General features: G+C 54.9%; 1 protein-coding gene and 1 long non-coding RNA gene across 25 annotated transcripts in view, besides 3 other annotated features; both read right to left on the bottom strand.

Moving 5' to 3' along the window:
- CAMTA1 (calmodulin binding transcription activator 1) overlaps positions 1-16,819 on the bottom strand; it is a 984,253-nt gene that overhangs the window by 250,337 nt on the left and 717,097 nt on the right. The window lies entirely within an intron of this gene.
- On the bottom strand, positions 10,745-16,333 carry LOC105376691 (uncharacterized). Its single transcript, XR_001737887.2, has 3 exons — positions 15,937-16,333; positions 15,731-15,793; positions 10,745-10,924 (listed from the first exon to the last, which is right to left on the bottom strand). It is a non-coding gene; the product is annotated as an uncharacterized LOC105376691 (long non-coding RNA).
- Positions 13,216-13,853: an enhancer, noted in NCBI's record as "H3K4me1 hESC enhancer chr1:7565577-7566214 (GRCh37/hg19 assembly coordinates)". NCBI's record gives its function as "activates a minimal SCP1, AML or CMV promoter by ChIP-STARR-seq in naive H9 embryonic stem cells {active_cell/tissue: H9 hESC(naive)}" and the evidence as "EXISTENCE:reporter gene assay evidence [ECO:0000049][PMID:30033119]".
- Positions 14,640-15,495: an enhancer, noted in NCBI's record as "H3K27ac-H3K4me1 hESC enhancer chr1:7563935-7564790 (GRCh37/hg19 assembly coordinates)". NCBI's record gives its function as "activates a minimal SCP1, AML or CMV promoter by ChIP-STARR-seq in primed H9 embryonic stem cells {active_cell/tissue: H9 hESC(primed)}" and the evidence as "EXISTENCE:reporter gene assay evidence [ECO:0000049][PMID:30033119]".
- Positions 15,496-16,353: an enhancer, noted in NCBI's record as "H3K27ac-H3K4me1 hESC enhancer chr1:7563077-7563934 (GRCh37/hg19 assembly coordinates)". NCBI's record gives its function as "activates a minimal SCP1, AML or CMV promoter by ChIP-STARR-seq in primed H9 embryonic stem cells {active_cell/tissue: H9 hESC(primed)}" and the evidence as "EXISTENCE:reporter gene assay evidence [ECO:0000049][PMID:30033119]".

The raw sequence follows: 16,819 nt of genomic DNA, 5'->3' as shown, positions 1-16,819 counted from the left end.
GGGAGCCACCTGTGGAGCTGCCGTGAGCAGGAGCTGCCCTCCTCCAGGTCTGGCTAAGACTTCCCCTGTGCCCCCACCTCTCCTGGCCCCTGCCCACCTGCCGAAGCCTCAAGGAGACAGGTGAGGGCTGTCCCCAAACTCCTCCTCAGTGGCAGAAAGCTCTGTGCCAGCCGGCATCAGGGCACCTCTGGCATCTCACCTTGTAAATGAGCTTTTGATGATTTGAGAAGACTTCTAATTAGAGCACCTGTTTATGATCTCAACTTTAATTGCATATTAACATTTTTTCTTCCTTTTCCCTTTCCATCTGGAGTGGGCTGTCTGGTGATGGATGGGGCAGGGAGGAAGGCCAGAAGATTTCCTTGAGAACTGCCTTGCTCTCCCCAGGAGGGCTCTGCTCCTGGCACAGGGCCGGGGGCCCCCTCCCCTGGGGACCCAAGCCATCCCAAGTACTGGGGCTGGCAGGCCTGGAGCCATCACAGGCCATTTTTTCGGGAGCACTCAATGAGGGTATGGCCAAGTTTGACCTCAGAAGGGAGATGAGTATGCACCAGGCTCCCTCTGCCCATGGGATGGATGTGTGGCTCCTCCTGACTTTTTGTTCTGACATTGGCTTCTGGAGAGATGGAGGCAGTGAGTGAGGGGCACCTTCCTTTCCAGGAGTCAGCTAAGTGGAGCTGTAAGACATGCCATCCTCCCTGCACCAGGCCAGCCCGGCCCTTCTCCTGGAACCAGCGCTGGGTGGGCACAGGTCCATTTCTCCTGAGGGCAGTGTGGGCGGCCCAGGCTCCTGGACCCCAAGGCGGCCCGACAACACGCTCTGTTCATCGGCTGTCTTCAGGGAGGGATGGTGCTTCTCCCACAGGCAACTGCCCCGTGGGGGGACTTCAGGGGCTCTGCAATCAGCCTTCACCTAAATGGGCCCTTCTAAATGGGTGGAGACACTGACCTTGGGGGTGTCACTGGGCTCCTGGTGAAGTTGATGTGGATAGGGGTCAGGCCCAGGATGGAGAGGCCGGTGGAGGGAACAGAAGAGCCATATTAGGGATGGAAGCCATAGGGCAGCTCAGCCTCTGGAGAGATCCCGCCACACCTCCGGGAGGGGCTTCTAGAAGTCTGGGAATCCAACTGCCAGCTTCGTTTTACCAGGTAGTTTTTCAAATTGTGTAAGACACAGTCTCCAAGCAGCCTGAGAGTTGCTGATAGGAGCCATATCCCTGACACGTGCTTGCTAAATATAACCTGACTCTGGGATCACGGTCCCATCCACTTCTCACATCCAGCTCTGGCAGACACCACTTAGCTACTCATATGTCCTCTTGTCCCCCAGTGGGAGAAGCTTCTCTGAGCCCTTGGCCCTCTTATCTAGGCTGGAAAATCAAGAGTTTCTGATGGTTCAGTCAATTGCCCAGGCTCAGTAAGCAAAGGGCTTAACCCTGGGCTCTCAGAGCCAGGTGCAGGAGGGGTCCTCCAGGCCTCCTGGGGGGATCATCGTCCCTCATGGCAGGACTTCTCTTTAAGGGACCTTGGCTCAAACCTCTGCCTGGACATCCTCCAGGGGTGTACTCCGAAAGTACATCGCCAGGACTGAATGGATATCGTGTTCTCTCCCTGATGGGGGATGCCCAGACATGGTAGACAGAGGATGTGTTGGTTGCTCTAAGTGTCTCTGACCCTGAAGATTTGAGAATAAGCCCCAGCCGTCAGCCCCTGCTCAATTGCAGTCACCCACCCAGGAATTTCCCCAACCCTTCTTGAGACTTCATATCTGTTTTACTTTTTCCTTCCTTTGGAATCATAACATTAAAGAGATGATATATACCAAAGCACTTTGTGAAAGGAGAGTTAGCAGCAACTACTCAGAAAAGGAGCTAACATTTAGTAGAACCTACTAAATGCCAGGTTCTGTGCCAGGTCCTGCAATCCTTGCCATTATCAGAACAGGATTCGTGTACCCATTTCACAGGTTGGGGAACAGCTTTAGGGAAATTAAAGTCCTTGGCCAAGGTTGCAGGTAGAAGTGGAACTCTCCTGTGAGGTTCCCCTGTGACCCAGCAATCCCATCTCTAGGGATTTATCCCAAGGGTATAACCAGACCAACATGAAAAGGATAATTAGAAGGATCCTGGTTATTAATGATGAGTAATTAGGAATAATCCAAACATCCCACGCTCACGGACTGGCTAGATAAGTGATGGAGTATTTGGAGAATGGAATATAACGTGGCCACGAGAAAGGATTATGCAGATCTATGTCCATCAGCTTGAAAAGATGCTCATGTCAGCAAAAAAAGTAGATTACAAGATAGCAGTGGCTAATATCTGCCCAGAAAGAGCTCAGAAGTTCAGACACTAAAATCTGAAGAGTTACTATCTTTGGAAGGTGGGATTTCACACGATTTTTATTACCATTCTACCTTTTTTTAATGATTAGATTTTTAAACATGGGCATGGATTATTTTCATAATGAGAAATAACAATAGAGCTATGCCCATTTTACAAACAAGAGCCCTCTCAGGGTCTCCTGTGTGACTCCCTTTGCTGGCAGACAGGGCTTCCTTCCATTTGTCTAAAAATATGCAACATTTCTTCCCAGTGAGCCCCTTCTTCTGGCCTGTGGGGAGTGGAAAACAGGTCTGTGACATTCTGCTGGCCTTCTGTGGTCTCTTGTGGGTGTGACCACCTCAGTCCCTTCCTCTTTTCTGTGTGGGTTTTGCAGGACAGTTCCCTAGCATTCCTCTTGTCTTGGGGTGGAGAAATGAAGAACATGAAATCCTGAAATGTCTAAGCAGGAAGGAACCTCAAGGAGCCATCTGGTCTACCCTGTGCCTCTTTCTTAGCTGTTCCCACTGTCAGCCCAGCCATCCAAAGCATCCAGCTCTGAAGAGGCTTCTCCCAGCCAGCAGAGGGGCGTGTGTGCACTGGCTCTGGCCGGTGAGCTCCCTGGCTGCCCCAGCTGCCCTCCACGGCCCCTCCTCCTCCCAGCCCCCAATTCCACAGTGTGACTCCAACAGGAGGCTTCGGGACAGCAGAACAATTTAATTCCTATTACAGTATAAAAATTAATAACATTAAAATGTCATGATCATCCCACACTAATTAAGCATCTAATGAATAATTAGCTGTGGACACATCTGACATTTTGGTCATTAATTTGAGCAAGTGTTTTAAGTTCCAAACAAAACCCCTCTGTGGTGGAGCCCACGACTCTGTGTTAAGCGGTGGAGACTTACAAAGTCAGCGCACGTTCCCCAGCCGGCTGGGAGGCTTGCTGATGGAGGCGGGAGTGGGGTAGGTTCTCCTGCCCTGGTGGGGGCCGGTCCAGGAAGGCTGATGCAGAGCCCACCTTCTCTAGCTTGGGAGGATGTGACACAGGGCAAGGGCATATGCAAAGACTCAGGGGACATCAGTCCCTGAGACCTGGGGTAAGAGCCACCAGGCTCCACAATCCCTTTGCATCGGCTGTTCCCACTCAGAGGCTGAAATCAGACAAACCGTGCCTATTTGGGACCCATGTCCCACGACCTGCTGCGCCCATGGGTCTGTGAAATCACTCAAGGAAGGAAAAGAGTCGTGGAGTCTTAGCAGACCAGCAGATCCTGGGAAAAAGTGAAACCAGGTCTGTCCAGGGCTCGCGAGAGGTTAGCTTAGCAGGGGACGAAGGAGGGGAACTTGGGAGCCTGGTGGAGCCTGGACTCTGGATTTGCTCACTGGTGCCTCTCGCTCCGAGATGAGCTGCCCGGGGGGTGGAATAGGGTGTAGGGAGAAGTCATCCTGGCTAAGAGGCAGCCCCAAATCCTGTCAAGAGCCCTGGCCCGGGTTTAAACTCAGCTGTGCCCATCCCTGGCTGTGCAGCCACCCCTGACTGGGCCATGTGGTGGGCATTGGGCTGTGAGCTAAGTACTTACATACATAAGCCCATGAGGAAATTGGGCACCCAGAGGTTGAATGACTCACCTGAAGTCACATACAGAGGCAGAGCCCGGACAGGAATCAGGTGTTTTGGTGCCACAGTCCGAGACTTAGGCAATGCTCCTTAAGGCCTCTTTCTTCCTGATGTCTCAGGAACCCTTCCAAGGCCACAAGAGCAGGAAGCTGCCAGGGCCAGATAAGCTCTGCCGGTGAGTGACATGAGCAAGGGGACACCTGGGATGATCCCAGGTGGAGGCAGCCGGGGAGGACCAGCCTGATGATCCCAGGTGGAGGGAGCCGGGGAGGACCAGCCTGATGATCCCAGGTGGAGGGAGCCGGGGAGGACCAGCCTGATGATCCCAGGTGGAGGGAGCCGGGGAGGACCAGCCTGATGATCCCAGGTGGAGGGAGCCGGGAAGGACCAGCCTGATGATCCCAGGTGAAGGGAGCAGGGGAGGGCCGGCCTGATGATCCTGGGTGGAGGGAGCCCAGGAGGACCACCTGGCTCTCAAAGGGGAGTAGGAGGAACAGACATTTGCTCTTTAGGTTTTTCCTCTGGGACTGTTTTGAATCTCAGTCTGCATCCCAAGCAGGTGCTCTGCAGCGAATAATGGGGTGGTGGGGGGCGGGCCTCTTGGGCCCCGAATGGAACATTCTCAGGCACTCCAGGCCCCACAGCTCCAGGTGGATGTCTGCACCAGGACCAGGCTGCCCAGTGGGAAGAGGATTCCTCTCTTCCCACTGTCTGCTCATGCCCCTTGGCTGGTTGGCCAGAAGCACCCTGCCACAGGTCTCTGCCCCTTGGGGCCTTACCCTGCAGTCTGGGCACAGGGCTCTCCCTGCTTGCATTTCCCAAATGAGTTGTTTCTATGCAAAAGGATCTCTCTTTTCTCCTTAGGACAAATCTCATATGTCCTTCAAAGTCTTTCCAGGAGGCCACCTCCAGCCCCTTCCCAGCCCCTGGTGCTCCCTCTGACACATCTGCAAGTGCTCCGTGATGCCATGCCACATCATAGGTGCTCAAGGAATGTTAACTCAATGCAGAACAAGTCAATGCCCTTCCCCACTCATGCCCTTCCCTTCTGGAGCACCTGGCTCCTGAGCAGAGAGACTCTGGCCCAGGCACTGCCTGTCTGCCCTGTGTTTGGGCAACTGCTCTTTGCTTGTTTCCTCTTGGGGTGGGGTCTGGCTAGGAAGGGCTGGAGGTCTAAGGAGAATCCTCCTCTTTCCTCCTTGTGCTAGGGAGCTGGAAGAGGCTCCGAGGCATGGAGATCTGAGCCAGATGTGAGGGACTGTTCCCTCTCTGGGGAGAAGTCCTTCTTCCTTGGATGTTGTCATAGGTTGATTCACATCCCCCAAATTCATTTGCTGAAGTCCCCAGTGCCCCAGAATGTGATCTGACTTGAAAAAGGCTCATTGCTGATACAATTAGTTAAGATAAGGTCATTGGAGTAGGGTGGGCCCTGATCCAGTGTAACTGGTGTTTGTGTGTGTATGTGTGTGTGTGTGTATGTGTGTGTGTGTGTATGTGTTTTTGAGACGGAGTTTCACTCTTGTCGCCCAGGCTGGAGTGCAATGGTGCAATCTTGGCTCACTGCAACCTCTGCCTCCCAGGTTCAAGTGATTCTCCCGCCTCGGCCTCCAGGGTAGCTGGAATTACAGGCATGCGCCACCACGCCTGGCTAATTTTGTATTTTTAGTAGAGATGAGGTTTCTCCATGTTGGTCAGGCTGGTCTCAATATCCCGACCTCAGGTGATACTCCCATCTCGGCCTCCCAAAGTGCTGGGATTACAGGTGTGAGCCACCACGCCCAGCCTGTAACCGGTGTTTTGGTAAGAAAAAGCCATGGACACAGGAAGAAGATCATGTGAACATGAAGGCAGGGGTCAGAGTGATCTTTCTACAGCCAAGGAATTGCAGCAAACACTGGAAGCCAGGGGAGAGGGCCGGGACAGACCCTCTCTTCCAGCCTCGGAAGGAACCGACCCCTTGATCTTGGACTCTGGCCTCCAGAGCTAAGAGGCGGTAGATTCTGTTGTTTAAGCTGCCCAGTCTACGCTGCTTTGCATGGCTGCCCTGGGAAACTCACACTGATGTCCCCACAGGCCTCTCCAAGCTGAAATTCCAAGGTGGCTCTCCTGACCCCACCCAGCTGCCATTACGATGGCAAGACCACGAGTCAGCCTGGAAGTTTCTCTTTCTCTCCCACATCCTAGCATCTGGCAGGCCGGTGGCTTGACCTCTGAATCTGCCCAGAATCGGCCGCTTCTCCCCACCCCACAGCTCTACCCTGGAGGTCCGCATCACCTCCCACCTGGGTCGTCACAAGCACCTCCCTGGTCTCCCCTTTTCCCCTATGGTGTCCCTGCAGTGAAGGGGGCACGGGGTGGTGTTGGGATGGGAGTCAGTGCCTGTCACTCAAAACCCACCAGATTCTCACCTTGCTCAGTGGGAGGCCAAGCCTTTCCAGCAACTCAAGGGACCCCTGCCATCTTCCCTTCTGGCACTTTCTAGTACCTTTTCTTCTGCCATTTTGCAGCCTCTGCTCACTTCCACAAAGAGGTCTCTGCCCTCTCTGACTGTCCCCTTGCCCTGATGCCCTGTCCTACCTAGTCTTCTCCTGGCTCCCTCCCTCCCAGCCTCCAAGGCATGGCTCACAGGAGACACCTTCTCAGGGGCTTGTCCTGCTGGCTTTGGGAGGATGCACTTCTGTTCAGCAGCTAGTATTGCTTCCTTCCCCACTCTCTATGTTACGGATGCTGGGTTTTGCTATGTAACTTGCTCTGGCCAGCGTGATAGGAGTGGATATGACTTCCCTGTGTCTGAGCAGCAGCTTGCATGGCCAACGGCCCTCCCGCCTTCTGCTCTCAGAAAACCAAGCCCCAGTCCAGGTCCAGGGCGAGACCCCTGGAATAGACTTGAAGCCACCCCTCAGCCTGGACACAGCCACTGAATCTGCCTACAATCAAATAACTATGCGGTCCTGTCAGCCGCTGAGATTCCCAGACTGTTTGTTACCGAGCAGTGTTGCCGCAAACCTGACTAATTTGCTACCCTTGCCCCACCATTTGAAATTGCATCTTGTCATCCCTCCAGGACCACCCCAATCTCCCCCTTACAGGCCTTGTCTGGCTTTATTGTTTCTTTCCCATAACACTGATACCTTCCACATGTTACATAACTGATGATTCTGCCCATCGTTTGGGGCCATCTCCTTGCCCCTGATGCAAGGTTCTCTGCTTTATCTTTGGCATATTCCAGACACCCAGAACAGTGATTGGTACAGAGCAGGTGCTCAGTAAACATTTCTGAATAAATGAATGAAAGAATGAATGAATGAAAGCACTTTCATGAGCTGACAGCTTGTGCTCTCCCAAGGAAAGGCCTCAGTTCCTTCCAGGCAGCTGAGTGGCTCCCAGTCCCTGAGTGGCAGCTGAGCGCAGAGCCAGGCAACCCATCTATCCAGATAAGCCTGTGGTTCCTGAATCTGGATTAGAAATTCTAGGAACCTCAGAAGAAACTGAGAAAACAAAGAGAGCTCCCTGCAGACTGCGATTTCTTCTGGCCTGTGTTCTTGTCTCCCAGGGGATGGTGTATTAGGTGTTTCCTCTACAAAGTGGAGTTTGGGGACCAGGAAAGCCGCCAGCTCCACAGTCTCTGCCCAGGTCCCAAGTGCCCAGGAGCCCCAGCCACGGGAAACACCTGGCCAGATTCTAGGGAAAGGGGAGGTCCAGGAAACCTCACCAGCCTTTTGAGATCTGGCAGCAAGAATCTGGTGAGAAACTGCCTCTGGTGGGGTCAGAATACACTGGTCAGAACTCCAGAACTCCAGATGGCTTCCTTCCCTTCTGCTGGACCCCGGGATGTGGGGAATGCCTAGCAGCAGCTGGAAAAGTTCCCAGATGTTCCATGTGATGGAGAGACAGCCACAGACATATCTCAGGAACACCTGGGCACCCCAGGATCCTGTGCCTTTGGGCTATTCTCCCAGAACAGGAGCTTGTGTCCATGGTGATAATGATAATTATCATCCTGCACATGCTTAAATGCCACAAAGATGCCAAGTGATTTACATTCATTATTTCTTTTTCTCATAACACTTAATATATGGGTGATGATCCCCACATTACAGGAAAGAAAGTGGACACTCAAGGTCACGGAGCTACTAGGGTGTCCCTCCAGGATGTGAACTCAAGGCTTTCTGATTCGAAGTCTGAAGTGTCCCCTGGTGCTATCCTGCATTATCCTGGCTTAACTGAAAGTTGATAAACCTACTATGCAAGGTGCCCTGCTAATTGGGAAGGGGGTTGGAAATGCTCGTAGGCACAGTTCCTGCCTTCCAGGAGGCTCGGCTGACACCCAGTAGCAGGTGCTGAGTTTCTGGCTGTGGAAAGAATGCCTCGGGCAATCGGGCGAGTGCCGAAGGAGTAACACACACGGAGAGTTTAAAGAGGGGAGGCTCGAAGCTCCCAGGAGCCTCCCTGGAAAAGGTGGCTTTAGAGTGGGGCGATGGAGGGTGTAGGATGTGGACAGGCAGATGGGGCAGGGTCACGCTGGCAAAGGTACAGTGACTCCCAAACCACCGGGACCCCAAGCAATGCTCTCAAACAAAAGTAGGAATTACAGTGTGTGTTTATGAACTGGGATGCCTGGAAGGTAGAGAGCCATCCTGGAGCAGGAGGACAAAGGTCCTGCTGTCCCCAGTAGGGTAAACACAATGGAGGAAACTCATTTTATGTGAGTTTCTGGAAAGGCTGGAGGTAAAGGCTGCTTGTATAAACCACACATTCTCGCCCCAAGAATTTCATCACTTGAAAGATTCTTGACGTCATTTCTGATGGATTGTTGATGGACTCTGGAACCTCTGTGTGAAATCCTCTTCCTTCTCCAGTGCCTGTGGCAGACTGGGCTCTGCCCATCGCAGTCATAGTACGAGCTACAGCTGTGACCTATGTGTCACTATTGGGAGGGCACTGCCCCTGATCCTCTTAACAAGTGGGAAGGTGGCACTACCTTCCTTCCCATGGGACAGGTGAGCCCCCAGGGGCGAAGCAAGGTGCATCAATGCCAGCAGGTGTCAGAGGTGGGATGGACCCTCCAATGCCAGCCTGGGAATCGCTGAACAAAACAGCCATTCTGGGCTCTACCCCAGAGTGGGGCACCCAGAATTCCCGGGGGTGGGGCCCAGGCATTTGCATATTTTTTACAAACTCCTTAGACCTAAGAACTGTTGGCCTTTACCCCTTCAATATCCCAAACAGGTGACCCTTGGTAGCTTGCCCTTTAATGAAAACGGGGAGTGTTATCTCGAGTGCCGTCGTACCAAGCGTGGAATCTCCTCCTGATGTGAAAATCAGTCTGAAATGTATCTGTTGGGTCACTGGGTCAGGAGCTTGTACAAAGGGGGCCTGGATGGCCTCGGAGGACAGTGTTTTTTTTTTTTGTTGTTTGTTTGTTTGTTTTTGCAGGATGACTCGGGAGTGACAGAGGTTGTGGTCACTGAGAGTCAGGGTAGCTTTTCCCCCTTGGTCGCTGGGCTGCTAAAAAGCTTCATGGCCTTGTGAACTCATGGAAAATCCTTTATGAGCAGACTTTGGACCACATAGCTCGCCTGGCTGGCAAGGGGAGGCCCCATGTCCACATCCCCTCACACCAGGAGGCAAAGCCCAGGTCTCCTAGCCTCTTGTTCTCTGTTGTAGGCCGACTGGATGTCCCCACCTGGGGGCATGGAAGGGACCCAGCAGCTGTGCACCGTAGGGTCCCAGCCTCAGGCCTCAGTACGTTTTTACGGCCAAGTTATAAACCTCTGAGAAATGGGGTTTATAATGGAAACTCTGACACCACCTAAAATACAGCAGCACTACTGGGTGCTCCCAGAATACAGCCCTAATTTATAAACCACTCAGGGATCCTGGGCCATTCTGAAACTTACAGACAATAATCCAGAAATAGAGTAAACCAGGAGGGGAAAGAATGGTACAAGTGTCTGTGGACTATAAAGCCTGCTGGGTCCGACAGTTTAGAAATCAAACCCGTGTCACGGTGTTTTCTCTCTGTTCTGAATCCTGGCTCCCCCGACCCCCAAGTGTTGCCTGGCTCTGGGGAAGGCAGCTCTGTCATCTGGCCAGCGCTGCTCTGTTTATCTTCCAGCTGTATTTTTAGCGTGAGGATGGGATAAAGTGAAAGAGAGAAAAGGCGCCCAGGCTTTGGTTTGATGTAACAGATGCATTTGTAAGACGGTTCCAACACACTCTCCTTTAAATTGAAAAAAGTGGTGACAGAAGCAACCTGCTTATTCTTTAGGGACATGAGGTTCCCAGTAGATGGTGCTTCCATTTGCTGCCTCCAGCTCTCTGCTCAGCCATCCCAGTGGGGTGAGTATCTTGCCTGGGGGGACCCACAGCAGCCAGGGAGCCCAGGACAGACCCGGGAAGGGAGGCCCAGGCTTGTCCTGCCCATAGCCTGTAGCGCCTGGTCTCAGGCCATGGGCATTTTTTTTGCACGTTTTCCAGCCCTGTATGGGAAGGGGCCTTCCCTTTCTTCCTCATTAGCTGAGTGAGTTGCAGAAATCAAGAGGGGGAGAAGGTTTGCAGGGAGCTAGAATGCATTAATTTTGGCAGACAGGCTAAGTGGGTGTGGATGCCCCTCTCCTCCAGGGCCAGGGCTGGGAGGCCTTGTCTTCCTGCTCCCTCTCCTATTCTAGGACTGTCCCTCCCTCCCTTCCCTCCCTCCACCCTTCCAACCTTCCTAACCTCCTTCCATTCTTCATCTCTTGCCCCACTTTCCTCCTCCCTTCTCTCTTCCCTCCCTCCTTCCCTCATTCACTGACTCAACAAATATTCTCTGAGCCTTTGCCCTGAGCCAGGCACAGTGCTGGGTGCTGGGGGCACAGAGGTGACTCAGAGAACTCAGGGTGAGCAGGGAGGTCATACCTGTCAACACGCAGATGCATGAAAGCAGCATTTCCCGCCCACTTTAGTCCGCCCCCTGCTTTGCTAGTCTTCTTTAGTGCTGCAAGGAATTTCAAAATAATCGTCAGGACTAGCGACAAATCAAAGTAGCAGGATTTTTGAGGAGGCTTTTTCAAGCCTCACCAGCCCCACGTCCCAGCTTCCAGGGGCCTCTGAAGCGCCTCTTCCGACGGGTGTGGGATGCAGGAGTCAGGCCCTCTGCCCACCACTGGTGCTCCCCATGGCTGTGACAGGGGTCTGTGGAGGGTCCACCGGAGGCCCGGGCCCGGCACTGCCCTGCTTCAAGCCCAAGCTCAGAGTCAGGGCCCCAGGCAAAGCCCAGCTCCACCTCTCTGGGCTCCAGGTTCCCCATCTATAATGTGACAACAGCACCACTTCCTACCTTCTCAGGGTACGGAACCGATTTGATGAGATCATAAGCGAGGGCTTCGCTCCCTGTTTGGAACACAGCCAAGTGCCCCATAAACCCCACTGGTATCGTCATGACTTGGTGAAGGAACAAGTGGGCATTACAGAGTGGGAGCCACGTGGCAAAGCCCTGGGGCTTGGACCAGCATTCGGTCAACAGACACACGCTGGAGAGCTGCGGTGTGCCAGGCAGGGAGGCCACCGAGTGCCCAGCTGGGAAGACCCGGAGGTGGGGTGGAGGCTTGTTAGGAGGCTGGCGCAGGTGGCAGAGGCTGCCCGCTCAGAGCTTGGACTCCCTTTGCAGGTGGGGTCCAGGTCTGCTCTTATCTGGACGTGGCCCGTGGGCCCCAAAGTTGCCAGCAGACTGGAGAGGCCCCTGGGGCCTGGGCCCCTACCTGTTGCCTGCTCGGGGGCTGGCGCTTGCAGCTTCCCTCCACCCTGCCTCCCTCCTTCCTGCACTTCCATCTTGCAGGGCTCCTCGGAAAATGCAATTTGAGTCAAGCCACTTTCAATTACTAAGATGCTGTGTTCTGAGCCCACGAGGTAATAAAGGGCCTGTTTGCCCTCCTGGGAATGTTGGGGTTTTTCAGGTGCCAAAGATGAGAGAGAAAGGAAGTGAGGCCAAGAGCTGCTTGGGGGAGTAAACAGCTCCGATAGACCCCCGTGCCAGGCGTGTGCCCCCTCCCCAGCCTGCAGCCTGCAGGCACCTGTGCAGAGACGGCTCCTCACATCAGAGCAGCCAGGAGGCAGGGAGAGCCGGAGAGCTGGAGCTGGTAGGGGTGTGTGCAGCCGTGTGCAAAAGGCAGGGTGTGTGCGAGTGTGCAAATATGTGAGCGTGAGTTTTGTGTGAGCAAGTGTGTATCGGTGAGTGTGCCACTGTGAGGGTGTTATGTATGTGAGTGTGAGCGTGTGTGTTGTGTGAGTGTGGGAGTGAGTGTGAGTGTGTGAATGTGAGAGGGTTAGAGGGTGAGCATGTAAGTGTGGGTGTGAATTTTGAGTGTCAATATGAGAGCAAGTGTGAATTTTGAGTGTGATAATGTGAGCATGAGTTTTGAGTGTGAGCATGAGATGTTAGTGTGAATTTTGAGTGTCAGTATCAGAGCAAGTGCAAATTTTGAGTGTGTGTGAATTTTGATTGTGAGTACATAAGTGTGAGTGAATTTTGAGTGTGAGCAAGAGATAGTGTGAATTTTGAGTGTTAGTATGAAAGCGAGTGTGAATTCTGTGTGATTTTTGAGTGTAAGCATGGGTGTAGTTCTGTGTGAGCATGTTAATGTGAATTTTGAGTGTAAGCATGTGAGTTTGCATTGAGTGTGAGCATGTGAGATTTTGTGTGAGCATGATGCTAGTGTGAATTTTGAGTGTGAGCGTGTGAGTGTGCATTTCGAGTGTGAGCATGAGATGTTAGAGTGAATTTTACGTTTCAGCATGAGGTGTTAGTGTGAATGTTGAACATTAGTATGAGAGTGTGACTTTTGAGTGTGAGCGTGTGAGTGTGCGTGTGAATTTTGAGTGAGCTTGTGAGCATGTGTACATTATAAGGGTGAGTATGAGATGTTAGTGTGAATTTTGAGTTTCAGTATGAAGTGTTAGTGTGAATTTTGAGTGTTAGTATGAGAGTGTGAATTTTGAGTGTGAATTTTGAGTGTGAGCATGAGACTGTGTGTGACTGAGTGCACAGGTGTCCGGTGGTGGGTTGAGGAAGCCCAAACCTCCAACCTTCCCCCTGGGAGTGGGGCCGGGGCTCCAGGGCAGGGCTGGGCTGGGCTCACTTCCCTCCTCTGGGAACCGGGCTCAGGGCCCTGGGGCACCTGGGACTCAGTCCCACCCCTGCTCTCCTTTGCCACACCTGGAAGATTTTCCTGGTTCTGGTGTGTTCCTTTCATTCCCAGTTCCTGCTCCCAAGTCCTCATGCTGAAGCCCAGTGCCACAGCGAGGTTATAGAGGGTGGGGGTGGTCTGTTCCCCAGGCAGCCTCTGGCCGGCTTCCTCCTCTGCGATTCTCCACCCTCCGCTTCCCTCTGGTCTGGGCCGTTCTGTCATCACTGATGTGAAGAGCTCTGCCTCCCCTTCCACTGGCTTCTGCTTTCCACACTGCTGCAGCCTGCCCCCACCAAACCTGCCCGCCTGAGAACCTGGGTGAGGAGGCCTCTCGGACTGGGAGGGCCAGGTGAGGTCGTGCAGGTGAAGCGCCCACAGGTCAGCTGTGCCCGCTGGGACCTCAGCAGCCCTCGCTCCTGTACCCCAGGTGACCATGAGCACTGGGGCCGGACACCCAAGACCGTCCCAGACTGAGAAGACCAGGTACAGTGGACCCTGCTCAGCGGACTGTGGTGTCCCCCTGTGCCACCCGAGGACATTCCAAGGTTATCTGTCAACACTTCTGCCAGACCCAAATGTGCTGCCTCATGTGGCCTCTGGGTGGGCTGTCTCCTGGCCTGGTCCCCCCACCTGACCATGGGAGGAACACCCTGCCCCTGGGGCACCGCCAGGTCCCTGAAACTGCAGCCCTGGGTGGGTGGCCTCATCTGAAGTCCAGGTCCCCTCCCGGCCCCATCTGGGCCTGCACAAGCTCCTTTTCCCGCTGTCTCCAGCAGGCAGCTCTGGGGCCGTGGAGAGGGTGGGCTGGAGCTGGGGGAGGGTGGCACGCTCTGTCTGTCCTGGGCCGCCCAGGACTGTTTTTCTTTTGCACTAGACGCCCACGTCCCAGCACACCCCTCAGGTAGGCCCTAAACTCAGTGACCGCAGTGCTTGCAGCAGCCCTCAGAAGCCAGAGGGAGCCTCGACTTGGCTGCCGGGGATGTGGTGGGAGCAGCTGCAGCCAGTCCTGCTGTGGCCCATGGGCAAAGGTCCTGGAGGCCACTCAGGGCCTCCTTTCCTGCCACTGGCCAGCTAGCTGTGCAACAAACATGTGTGCACTTGGCCTCCAGGTGAATATTATGCATGTGCCCATGAGGCATCTGTGTGCTTGTGCCACTTCCGCCCGTGAAGGAGGCTGTGCGCTACACTGAACTCCTCCTGCCCAGCTGTGCCCATGAGGCATCTGTGTGCTTGTGCCATGTCCGCCCGTGAAGGAGGCTGTGCGCTACACTGAACTCCTCCTGCCCAGCTGTGCCCATGAGGCATCTGTGTGCTTGTGCCATGTCCGCCCGTGAAGGAGGCTGTGCGCTACACTGAACTCCTCCTGCCCAGTGATTCTGCCCAGTGAGGTGGTGGGCATGGCATTCTGAGAAAGGCCAGCTGTGTCACTGTAAGAGGCACTTGTGAGATGTCCATGCCCTCTAGGAAAGGCTGGTCTGCTGCCCTAACGGTCCAGAGCCGCTATTCCCAGTGGGCCTAGACATTTTTACTGCTAGGGTAGGAAAAACATGGAGGACCACTGCTCTAGAATGTTCTGGACCTCACCTCTCCCCTCTAGTACATGGCTGTGGGCATCTTTGGTGCATCCCCAACCTCTTCCCTCTTGCAGGTGGAGCAGGCAGGTGGGGTCAACCCCACACCAAGCTGGAAGCCCCAAAAGCTTGATCTTGGAGTCAGTTGGCAGAAAGACCAGGCAGCTCTGAGGGCCCTGGAAGCAGGTGGCCTGTGAGGCCCACACTCCCTGCCCGAGGCTGAGAAGGCCTCCCTGACGGACAGGGGTCTGTCTAGCAGGGTCCTCAGATACCAAAGGGAAGCAGAGCCCTGTGCCCAGGCCAAGCCCAGGCAGCAAGGGGGCAGGACAGCTGGACACATTCTCCAAGCCTGGGTACCAGGAGCCACACCTGGGGGTTCCACGGGGCCATGAGACTGTGAGAGACAGTAGAGGAAGGTGAGCGTGGCTGCATGGCCTGGTTGTCACCTGAGACCTCCTGGGCAGCAGAGCCTGGCAGGACCCGGGAGGCTGATTGCAGACCCTTGGCCTGGGTCCAAAGTCAGTCCCCACCCGTTCCCCGCAGTGAGGACACAGAGTCCCCCGGCCATGGTATCCTAAGAACCCACCACTGCCCACAGAGGCCCTTGGGATGGCAGGCATGGCCAGTCTCGGCTGAGGCTGCCACCCTCTCCTGCCCGGGAGGCCCCTCTGGCTGCCCTTTGGGGTCAGACTGTTCACCTGGTTCTCCCGTTCTGAGGCCCCCAGCTCCTGACTCCCCTCCCCCAGCCCTTCCTCTGGCTCCTCTCCAGCCTCCATGCTTCTGTCCCCTGGGACACAAGTGCGGGGCAGCGGAGGTGGCTCAGAGCCGGCCAGATGCGTCACACTTGCAGGGAACTCCGTCAGCAGGTGTGGTGGGCACAGCATCCGAGTGGGCATCACTGTGGGTGGGCAGGCTACACACAAACAGGAGGCTCCCCCCACCTCCCGAGGGCCACACATCTAAGAATCGAGCTGAGCTGAACCTGACGGAAATGGGAAACTACCCTGAGAGAGCCTTCAGGTGCCCTAGACTTGGGGTTTTACTCACCACCAGGCGTCTTATGAAGCAGCCTGGCCACTGTCAGGCCTGGCTAAGTGCTTCCCAAATGCCCTGCAAAGGCAGATGAGGCCCAGGTCTGGCACCTGACCCTGGAAATGGTGGGGGAGGGCAGCGACCATTCCCTCCCCTTCGGCGAAGGTGGCCAGCCAGGGCCAGGCCAGAGGGAGACCCAGGCCAACTCCATGGTCCTCTACCTGGGCTGGCTGTATTACCCCAGGACCCAAGGCTGCTCACTGCGAGGAAGTTCTCTGCATTGTGACCCGAAAGCCCCTTCGTAAGCACACCTTCTGAAGCACACCCTCTGGCTTAATAATCCCACTTCTCCATCTGTAAGCAAAAACCCAGGCGGGAGGGCCCTCCATGCCCTGGACCCTTGCTCTCGGCCCCCAGCCCTGACTCTCCAAGGGCAGCAGAGCCCGGGGCACTTTTCTGATCGTCTGGCCCTGTTGGTAAAAGCCAAGGCTTCTAGGGCTTGTGCCTGGATTTACCTCACAAGCCAGAGGGGTGGCCAGCAGGCTCCCCCATTCCACAGAGCCCATGACACGCCCACCCCATTGTCCTGACGCTGACTGACCCCACTCTGTGTGCCAGGCCCCGGCTAAGAGGGGAGAGTAGAGAGCCAAATGGACATGGCCGTTGCCCACAGGAAGCTTCTAGTGTGTGTTTCCCTCCAAGCACATCTGTGCCCAGGGTGAGCCATGGGGTGCGGGGCAGGGGGTGCGGGGCAGGGGCCACAGGGCAGGGCTGCCTGCCTCGCTTCAGCCCTTGTAGGGGAGCTCTTGTGTGCTGAGCGAATGAAGTACAGGGGTGATCTCTGGAAACGTACTACACATCCCCCACTAAGCCCAGCGAGGCCATTTCTATTCTTGCGCTGACTTCACATCTCCGTCGGCATTGAATCCCCCTCCAGTGCTCAGTGTCCTCATCTCATTTATGAGGGCCCGATTCCAGAGCCCTGGGGCTTCGCTTCTCCTTGGGGTCAAAGGCCAGAGGCCCCCCCACTCCTCGACCTGGTGAAGCAATCCTGCTCCTTCTTGGGAAAGCCGGGGGCTGAAGGCGACTTTCCAGATGTGGAGG

Source organism: Homo sapiens, chromosome 1, assembly GCF_000001405.40.
Source record: "Homo sapiens chromosome 1, GRCh38.p14 Primary Assembly".
In the NCBI taxonomy this organism is placed as follows: Eukaryota; Metazoa; Chordata; class Mammalia; order Primates; family Hominidae; genus Homo; species Homo sapiens.
The sequence above is the reverse complement of the archived record's forward strand: the minus strand, read 5'-3'. Positions and strand labels throughout refer to the sequence as shown.